The sequence below is a fragment of the Homo sapiens genome, chromosome 13 (genome assembly GCF_000001405.40).
Source record: "Homo sapiens chromosome 13, GRCh38.p14 Primary Assembly".
In the NCBI taxonomy this organism is placed as follows: Eukaryota; Metazoa; Chordata; class Mammalia; order Primates; family Hominidae; genus Homo; species Homo sapiens.
In genome coordinates this window covers 69,483,306-69,494,631 of record NC_000013.11, presented here as the reverse complement: position 1 = coordinate 69,494,631, position 11,326 = coordinate 69,483,306, and the positions used below count along the sequence as shown (strand labels likewise).

Here is an 11,326-nt window from a genome sequence, read left to right as displayed (position 1 = left end):
TTGTCATTATACATGGTGCCACTTGTTTCTTTCCATCAGCTGCCATTTTTTACAACAGTTCTTTTAGATATAATATATACCCTAATTTTATTCTATATTTTTGCTTATACTGTAACAATAGACTTCTTTTCACATAACATACCAGAAGCTTTTACTAAAATATGCACTTTGATTTTCTAGTCGTTTATGCATAGCTGCAGTCACACTATTTACCTTCAAGTGCTGTAAGTCAAAGTGTTAAACTAGAGTTTTTTGACTCCTCTCAGTAGCATAAACATGTGACTTTAGCTTGAAACATATCCCTACAAAAAGATAAAATGTTGTCACAGCCTCTGCTGAACTTGTCATCTTTTGTAGAAATGTCTTTTCCTGTTTCAGATCCAAGTGTTTTATGGTACAAGTAACTGCTGAGATTTTTAAAAGAGCTATTAAATAGTATTAAACTTATGTTCATAAATTTGAAAACATATTAAAATAGATGCATTTCTTCACCTATATGATGCTAAAATTGGCAGAAGAAACAGAAAGCTTGAAAGAAAGATTATCATTATGTAATTTAAAATGTTAGAGAAAAATAATTCTGTACTTCACCCCTCCACCACACACAAAAAAACTTCAGCCCTATGGCCTTTTACAGGTGAGTTCTACTATAGTTTCTTTTATAAAATTTTTATTTTTAAAAAAATTCACAGATAAAATTGTATATATTTTTGGTGTACAACATGATGTTTTATAATATATATATATGCATTGTAGAATAGCCAAATCAAACAAAATTACATATCTATTACCTCATATGTTTGCCATTTTTATTGTGAGGATATTTACAATCTACTCTGCTAGCATGTTTCAGGAATACAATATATTCTTTTTAACTATAGTCATCCGTGTTGTACAACAGACCTCTTGAACTTATTACTCCTATATAACTCAAATTTTGTAATCTTTTTCCAACATTTTCTCAACCTCTTCCCCACTACTGACCCAGCATCTAGTAACCACCATTCTATTCTCTACTTCTATGAGATCAATTTTTTAGATTCCATATATGACTGAGATTATGTGGTATTTGCCTTGCTGTGACTGGATTATTTCTCTTAATGTAGTGTTCTCTAGGTTCATTCATGTTGTCTAAAATTTTAAAAAATCATTTTTTTATGGCTGAATATATTCCATAGTGTATATGTACCATATGTTATTTATCCATTCATCCATTGATGGATATTTGTGCTGATACCGTAACTTGGATATTGTGAATAATGCTGCAATAAAAATGGAAGTGCAGACATCTCTTGAAAAGACTGCTTTCATTTCTTTTGGATATATGCCAAGAAGTGGGGTTGATGAATTATATTGTAATTCTGCTTTTAATATTTTGAGAAATTCCCATCCTTTTTGCATAATGACTATACTAATTTATATCAACAGAGTGCAAGTGTTCCTTTTTACCCAAATTGTCACCAACACTTATTTGTCTTTTTCACAATAGCAATTCCAACAGGTATAAGGTAACATGTCATTGTAGTTTTAATTTGCATTTCCCTGATGATTAGTAATGTTGAACATTTTTTCGTATACCTATTGGCCAGTTGTATGTCTTCATTTAAGAAATGTCTATTCAGGTCTACGCCCATTTTTAAGTTGGATTATCTGTTTTCTTTTTATTGACTTGTTTGAGCTCCATATATATATATGTACACACACAATTCTATGTATATACTTATATATGTATATATATGTATACACTTATATATGTGTGTGTGTATATATATGTGGCTTGTATATGTGTGTGTGTGTGTGTATATATACACACACACACACATATGGCACTATCTTGACTCACTGCCTCTAACCTCCCAGGTACAAGTGATTCTTCTGTCTCAACCTCCCAAGTAGCTCGGATTACAGGGATGTGCCACCATGCCCAGCTAATTTTTTTGTATTTAGTAGAGATGAGGTTTCACCATGTTAGTCAGGCTGGTTACAAAATCCTGACCTCAGGTGATCCACCCACCTTAGCCTCTCAAAGTGCTGGGATTGCAGGCGTGCACCACCACGCCAGGCCGAGCTCCGTATGTATTTTTAATATCAACCCCTTATCTGATGTATGTTTTTTTAGGTTGTCATTTTGCTCTGTTGATTTGTTTGATTGGCTCTGCAGAAGCTTTTTAGTTTGATGTAATCCCATTTATCTAATTTTGCTTTTGTTGCCTGTGTTTTTGAAGTCTTATCCAAAAAAATTATTGCCCAGGTTAATCTCATGAAGATTTCCACCTAGTTTTCTTCTAACGGTTTAATAGTTTCAGGTCTTATATTTACGTCTTTAATCCATTTTTTATATTTATTTTATTCATTTATTTTTTAAAAAAATTATATTGATTTTTGTATATGGTATAAGATAAGGGCCTAATTATATTCTTCTGCCTGTGGAGATCCAGTTATCCCAGCAATATGGTTAAAAATCAGTTGGCTATAAATGCATGGGTTTATTTCTGGGCTCTGTATTCTGTTCCATTGGTCTATGTGTTTATTTTCAGGTCAGTACCATGCTGTTTTGGTTACTAGAGCTTTGCAGTATATTTTGAAGACAGATAATGTGATGTTTTCAGCTTGTTCTTTTAGTTAAACATAGCTTTGACTATTTAGGGTCTTTTGTGGATCCATAAAAATTTTATGATTTATTTTATTTCCATGATAAAAATGTCTTTGGAATTTTCATAGGGTTTTCATTGAATCTGTAGATTACTGTGAGTAGTATGGAATTTTAAAAAATATTAATTCTTCCATTCCATGGACATAGATGTTTCAATTTATTTTTGTTTTCTTCAATTTTTTTTCACCAGTATTTTCTAGTTGGTGTACAGAACTTTCACCTCTTGGTTAAATTTATTCCTAAATTTTTATTTTTTGTAGTTATTGAAAAATGAAACTTTTCCAGATTTGTTTTCCAATAGTTCACTATTCATGTATAAAAATATTATAATTTTTGTGCATCGATTTTGTATCCTAAATCTTTCTGAATTTATTTGTTAGTTCTAAGAATTTTTTGTGGAGTTTCAGTCTTCTCTGTATGAGATCATGGTATCTACAAAGAGATACAATTTAACTTCTTCAATTCCAATTCTAATGCCTTTTATCTCTTTTTTTAGTTTAATTGCTCTGGCTAGAGCTTCCAGTGCTATGTTGAATAGAAATGGTGAGAGCGGGTATCTTTATTTTGTTTTGGATCTTAGAAGAAAAGCTTTCAGTTTTCCCCATTGAGTATAATGTTTGTTGTGGCCTTGTAATATCTGGCCTTTATTGTGCTGTGGTACATGCCTTTTATATGTTATTTGTTAACAGCTTTTATCATGAAAAGTTGTTTAATTTAGTCAGTTGCTTTTTTTGCATCTTCTGAGATTATCATTTTATTTTTATCTTTCATTCTGCTAAGCTTGTATTTCACATTTATAGATTTGAGTATGTTGAATCATCCTTGCATCCCGGGGTGAATCCCACATAATCACGGTAAATTATCTTTTTAATGTGCTGTTGAATTGGCTTGCTAGAATTTTACTGAGGATTTTCTACTATACTTTCAGTTAACAGAAAATCACTCTTTTAGAGAACTTCTCTGTAATACAAGAAAAGAGGAAAACTTGGCAAAACATTTTACAAAAATGAGGTAAAGGTAAACCAAGAAAAGGGAATTATATGCCAATCTCACATATTGATACAGATGCACAATATCTTAATGTAACAAATTTCTTGATCTAATGAGAAATTAAAATCAATCAGCTATGATCAGGTAAAATTTATCCCAGAATTTGCAAAATTACTTTATTACCAAAAATCTTAAAATATTTTAATACAAATTGGACTACATCATACAAACAAGAGCAAATGGCCAAATAGTACATAGACTGTACTTGTTTGAGCAGCATTTAATAATTTCACTTTTTTCTATTTCATTTCACAAGCTACTAAAAGATTATAAAAACTGGAGTAGTAGCAGTTGCATGGTTTGCCTTTGTCCATTGCTTCCATAGTAGAACAGAATGCCTAGTGGGGTGGATACAAGATTACAGGAAGGAGATCTCAGTGCTTACATTATAAGGTCCTTAAGATGCATAGATGACAAGGATAAACCAAACCCAAACTTATTGCTATATGCACTGGGTTGTAGCTATCCTACTGCATTTATTACTGAAACACCATCATGCAGTGTAAGTCCTGCTGCTCACTGCACAAAAAAACAATCACTGAGACAACAATTATTGCCAAAGAAGAAGGCTTTAATCAGGTGTTGCAGGAGGAGATGGGAGATCAATCTAAATTCCATCTCCCTGATTAACTAAAATTAGAGGATTATATAGCAGGGTAGAAATGTAACTATGTATGAGAAAACAGGAACTCAGGAGGGGTAAGGAAGCAGTCAGTCACAATGAATGAGGGGTCTGGAGTCTCAATGTCTGGATGTGATAATCTGGTGAAATTCAGTTCTTTGATACTTTTTGAGAGGCCTGGGGGTCTCTTCCTGAGGAAGGAACTCAGATAAAACAAATGTAAGCTTCAAGCTTTAAGACAAAAAGGGCCAATTTCTATGTTTATTTTAAAAAAACAGACACTGTCTATGGGACTCTTGGGCCAATTTAAGTCCCCCCTTTGTATTCATCAATATTGATAATATTGATAAATCAATATTGATTTTTATTGATAAATAGAAAGGGGGAATTGAAACCAGCCCAAGAGTTTTTTATTATTTGGGGAATCTGGTCATTGATCTTTTCTGGCTGCTTCATGCTGAGGAGGGACATCATGGACAGCTCCATTCCATAGGTGACCATGTGGCCACCCAGGAATCAAAGATTAATCTAATACTGTAGTTTTCTTGTAAAATACAATTTTTCTCTCTCTAGTCCCCCACTTCCACCAAAGACAAATTACAGCAGGACCAACCTACTTGTGAAATAAGTTTCAGTCCCATATACTTGCCCTGATTACCCACATAAAGTACAGCAAGAATCATTGTCCATGTAGGCTCTACTAAACTGGCTTTGCTGGAATCTCTCACAAAGCCATTTCAGTCAAAGCCCTGGGAAAATTACCAGTTCCTCCAATTGGGGTCCATTATAAAAGAAAAGGAGTTCTTATTAAATGTATGCAAACAAACACATTGCCATTAATTAAGAATATTCACAAATACTTTGTTCTGGATAAATTAGGCAGAGAGATAAATATGCCCCAAATTCTATTTATAAAAGTATACTCTATATACTTAAAGTACATTTTAAGGCTATAAATAGCTGAAATGAAAAGAAAAATTCTCCAAATTCTGAAAAACAAAAGAATCAGCAATATTTTGAACAAAAACAGCCATGAAAAAGCCCTTCAATCAACACTTGCTCTGCTTCATATTGGGCAGGCAATCATTATGAACACATCAGCCTTTTAATTAGAGTCCTGGAGGTTTTATGTAATACAGTAGCACTATCTCCAAAGTTATCAGAAACCTGCATTCAAAAGTTATTTCCATGAACTCCCCCGAAGATGCAAGCTCTGGATTGTAGCTTATTATAAGTCACCTTTTGAAGAGAATCCAAGCAAAACAACAATTTTGAAAGACACAAGTCTTAGAACAGCCATAATAAAAGACACAGTTGACAAGGACATACAACAGTTTAGCACAATTTCTGTGGCATAAGATAATTTAACACAATAATTATAATTAGTACTGAGAACATATATTAAGACGTATCAGAATTTCAGGAATGTCATATAAGCCTGGAACACATATTAACAACATACCTATATAAATATAACCCTCAGAAAGCTAAATACCACTTCACATTTGAAAATTCTTCCTGTATAATTCTAATATAACAAATAAACCTAATAAGCCTAATATATCTTTCTTGGACTTCAGGGAACTTAATATCCAAAAATGTTGATTTAAGATCAAAGGGACTGAATTTAGAACTTGAAATTTTGTTATTAGAAAGTTTGTAAAATATCAAAGGTCTAAGACACTCAATATCACAAAATAGGATCACAAGTTACTATAAAATAGTCATTCATCTAGGAAAAATTATCATTCAAAGTGTTTACTCTCTTTGACAGAGAGGAGACCAGTTTCCTAAACAATAAGACCTGATAAAAACAGCATGAGGCCAACTCTATCTGTCTCTCCTTCTCTCTATTTTTTTCTTCTGTAGTATTACTCAAAATGTAGTCAAAAATATCTTATTATCCTGTACATGAAAATATTGTTCAAAAGAAAAAAACCACATTTTACCTTTGTCTTGTATATTACTGACATTAAAGCTAATTTTAGTAAAATCTTATAAACAGGTCTTTCAAATTTTAATCAGTTCAATCATAAAGTAAGATTCCCATAAACTTTTTATAACCATTTCCAGTTTTCTATTAAGGAGCCGATCAATGCTCCAAGAAAATTCTGTTATTCTGACACATGGGCCCAGATACTGGCCTTGCATGAGTGTGTTTCTAATATTGATATTTAATTTATAGAAAAACTCTGAACTAATCTTATCCCTCAAAATCAGCCCTTACAATCTCACATGCCCACCTCTTCCTCAATTAGTCCCTGAGCCTATAGGGATTGATAGTTTTAATTTCTGGCCCCCATGTCTCATGAAAACAGTTCATTTTGATTGTTACCTTCTCCCAGGTCTGAAGACAAGTCTTTAACTTGTGTCATTACTCAAGATTTATCAGGGGTTGGTGCCTTTTTTAGACCCAGGAGTCAAAGGCCAGTGACTTAACAGAACAAGGATTAGTTAATAGATTACTCATGTCACAAGTGACAATACTATGGTTTGGTTTCTAAGAGTTATTGCCTGCCTGCAGCACTTCAAATCACTGCATTTCAGTGGTTAGGTTACTCACTGCATATTTCTAGTTGCTAGCATTCTAGTGACAGAACTGTGTCCAAAGATATCAAAAGTGTGATGATTTGGGTCCCATGGAAAATTTATCAAAGTAAAACAACTAACTTTTCTGTCCATCAATTTTTCAAAGTAAATGTAAATACCAGTAAATTTTATACAACAAAACAGGGAAAAAGTAAGAACAAGCACACAGTTATTTCTTTTCAGCTATTTTAAAGGAGCATTATCACATATTTCCAAGATTAGTTCCTAGATACAGTACTGACAACTGATTATGTAACTTCCACCACTAAAATCTTCTTACCAGTACAAAAGTTGTACATATTTTGTTTTCAAGTACATACATGAAGGCCCATTACTGATTAACGGCTTGGATCAAAGATCACTAGAAAGTCTCACAATTTTTTATTACTACTTAATCCAAGTGAATATCAGTTAATTTTAATAAAGGTAAACACAACTGAATTAGTTCAAGAGAAATACCAATCACTTAAGGACAAGGCTAATCTTTCCTGAACATTAAAATTTTGCACCCACATTGCAATTTTTCATTACCTAAAGAAAAAATCTAAAGCAAACTCAAATTATTGATTGAAATGAATTATCTAATTACCTTGGAAATAAATGCATTTTAAACATTTTTATTCTCACCTCATTTTTCAAGTAACAAAATAAATAGTGCGCTATTTCTGCTCAAAACTTGTATAAATAAGTCTTTTATTTATTTATCTATTTATTTTTGCCAGGATCCTTAAAGCTCTTGTATCTCTCTAGATAACCAAAGGTAAGCAAAACCAACCAAATTTTAAATGGCTGATGTGCACTACCATTTTTTTGCAGGCTTGACAAAGGTAGTTTAAGAATTCTAGAAAAAGAGAACAAATGATGGCTTGTTAGAAATGCATAGGAAACAACATGACTATTTATAGAACCAAATAAAAGACTTCTACTAGAAAACAGAAAATATCAATGGTTATATATATATATATGTATATGTACGTAGAACCTAAAGGAGAACAAACAGCAAATAAATAAAAATTAAAGACAAAAGCCAATAAACAGGAAACCAACTCCAAATTTTTACCCTACTCAGTTAACCTTGGAGGCTAACATGTTACCCAGAGCCTTAAAAAAGATGATGGATATTTCATTCCTCCACACTAATTAATGTCTTTAAGTCTACCAATACCACCATACATTTTATGCAATTAAGAAACTCACGTTAGGTACATGACCAGTAAGTACTTCAGTGCTAGTATTATCTACGCAGAAGAGCAAACACGTTGTGAAACAAAGCAATGAGAGCATTTATGTGAAATTTGGCTCCATGTTAAATCTGGCTTTCTGCTTAACTGTGTTAAAAAATGAATTGCCAATTACCCATTGTATTTCATTATAACATTTCTTAATTTACCTTCATTGAGACTAAGAGCTTTAACTATGATGAATGTGAATTAGCCAAATTTCTCCAAGTTTCTATCAGATTTTAAAGAATATTTTACTATCTACATTTTTTCAGCTTTCTATTTTCTTTGTATGTGCATAAAGAGAGACATAGAGAAACCAGCAAAAAAACTCATATGACTTTCACAGACCATCTATGATATGCTTGGGCTTTCTGATTTGTCCTAAATTTTCTTTTCTTTTTTAATAACCAGTCGTTTTATTTTAGGACAAAAATTCACCATACAAGATCCTTTCTCATATAAAATTATTCTCTTTTCTCTATAGCCTTCCTTACCAAAAGTATATCTTCATATTCATAACTGTTTTCTCTCTCTCCAATTACTGGTTCCTTTCTATATTGTTTCATAAATAACCTTTTCAAGTCTATATTTTTAAACTGTTAAATAACTTCCGAATTAGAAAAAAATTATTATTATTATTTTTTTTTTTTGAGACAGTGTCTTGTTCTGTCATCCAGGCTGCAGTGCAGTGGCATGATCTCAGCTCACTGCAACCTCCGTGTCCCTGATTCAAGTGATTCTCCTGCCTCAACCTCCTGAGTAGCTGGGATTACATCCATGTGCCACCACACCAGGCTAATTTTTGTATTTTCAGTTGGTCAGGCTGGTAGCGAACTCCTGATCTCATGATCTGCCTGCCTCGGCCTCCCAAAGTTCTGGGATTACAGGTGTGAGCCACTGTGCCCAGTGACAAAATTATTCTTCTAACTAGAAACATATCTTTTTTAGCACATATTATATGCACTATTATATATTAACTATAATTCTTATCTTTACTAATCTTCAATTTTAGTGAAACCTTAGAAAGCAAGAAATTCTGAAGTATCAGACATTAGCATTTTATAGATGAGAACAATTGCACAATTTATAGAAACATATTTTTCCATATCATAATCCTTCCTTAATTGGAAATGATTCAGACAGCCAATGAGCATCAAAAAATTTTTTTAAGATTTAAATTACACAAAAAATTCACCTATGATGCTTACCCATTTACGTCTCTTTTTTATTTTTGGCAGTTTATCTAGATTGTTAATGCATTACTTACTTTCTTGTTAACAACTTTGTAATCTGTGGATATCAGGTGTTCACCTAAATAAGAACCTTAAAGTTAGCTACATGTGCATTTTCACCAATAACTCAAAAGATTTAGGTATTTTAATTAAACCAGTAATATTAGTCTTATCAAAAAAATCACACAAAGAGAAATCTTTTTGTTCAACTGGGTTTATAGTTTTATAACCTGTCCCAATCCCTCACATCTCAAAATATCTAGCACAGGCAAATATAAAACCCAGACAAAAATGTGTGCTGACAATGCTGAAGACATTTCTATTTCTATTTTACCAATAATTCTAAAGCCAGCTTATTAAATATTTACTTAAGTCACATGAACTTGAAAAATACTTTGGACTCATTTACCTCACTTATGAGTGCTCTTTTATTCATAAGACAATTTGGTAGACATAAAATAAAACATAATAAATGTACATAGACATGAACACATCTAGACATGCACACACACATATAAACAAAGATCCAATAGCTTTAACTCAGAACTCTAGCCATGAGATAGCAACACAGACTCACTGGTTTACATGGCTAGAATTGATTTGTCCCAATAGGTAATCCAATGAATTCTGTGAACTGAAATTTTGGGTAAATTAGTTTTCATGTCAGTTTGATTTTTAAAGGCCAAACCTCCCCAGACTCCAAAGAATACTGGGGCCAAACACCACCAAACAATATCACATACTAACCAGGCCTGACCCTGCTTAGAAGAACATCACAATAGCCTCGGTTCATGGAACTCCATCCCACTTTCCCATTCGACAGCAAACTCCAGATTCCAAACAATGTTGGGGCCAAGTTGTATTACAAAAGAATATCACTTTATGGAATTTGAATTTCCCATGATACACACACAGTTTCCAAAATTGAAATCCAACTGCCGAAGCAACCAACAAGCCTCAAGAGTGTCCAGACTGAAACAGTCAACAGTCAGGTGCTTTTTCTCTCCATTGGTTCAGTTTGATCAACCTGCAAATAAAAATTCTTTAGGAAATTCCCAAATTGAGAGGAGCTTATCTCACTGTCTGATACTCAAAAAGACACTCACCTGTCAGGGAGAAGATAAAAATATTCTCTATCATAAGTACTGTTTCTATTTTCCTGAAATCCAGGCCAAAAACATGTGACATGAAAATTAAATAAGAGGTATAAAAATTGGAAGGAAGAGGAGGCAAAATTGGCCTAATGTAGAAACAGTATGATAATTGGGGGAGGTTCCAAGATGGCTGAATAGGAACAACTCCAGTCTACAGCTCCCAGCGTGAGCAGTGCAGAAGACGGGTGATTTCTGCATTTCCAACTGAGGTACCGGGTTCATCTCACTGGGGCTTGTCGGACAGTGGGTGCAGCCCACGGACCATGAGCCAAAGCAGGGCGAGGCATCGCCTTACCTGGGAAGTGCAAGGGGTCGGGGAATTGTCTTTCCTAGCCAAGGGAAGCCGTGACAGACGGCACCTGGAAAATCAGGTCACTCCCACCCTAATACTGTGCTTTTCCAACGGCCTTAGCAAATGGCACACTAGGAGATTATATCCTGCGCCTGGCTCAGAGGGTCCTACGCCCACTGAGCCTCACTCATGGCTAGCACAGCAGCCTGAGATCGAACCGCAAGGTGGCAGCGAGGCTGGGGGAAGGACGCCTGCCATTGCTGAGGCTTGAGTAGGTAAACAAAGTGTCCTGGAAGCTCAAACTGGGTGGAGCCCACCGCAGCTCAAGGAAGGCTGCCTGCCTCTGTAGACTCCACCTCTGGGGGCAGGGCATAGCTGAACAAAAGGCAGTAGAAACTTCTGCAGACTTCAACGTCCCTGTCTGACAGCTTTGAAGAGAGTAGCGCTTCTCCCAACACGGAGTTTGAGATCTGAGAACGGACAGACTGCCTCCTCAAGTGGGTCCCTGACC

The 11,326-nt window shown here is 34.2% G+C and overlaps 1 annotated feature.

The window, feature by feature from the left end:
• Positions 10,498–10,997: an enhancer, noted in NCBI's record as "H3K4me1 hESC enhancer chr13:70057767-70058266 (GRCh37/hg19 assembly coordinates)". NCBI's record gives its function as "activates a minimal SCP1, AML or CMV promoter by ChIP-STARR-seq in primed H9 embryonic stem cells {active_cell/tissue: H9 hESC(primed)}" and the evidence as "EXISTENCE:reporter gene assay evidence [ECO:0000049][PMID:30033119]".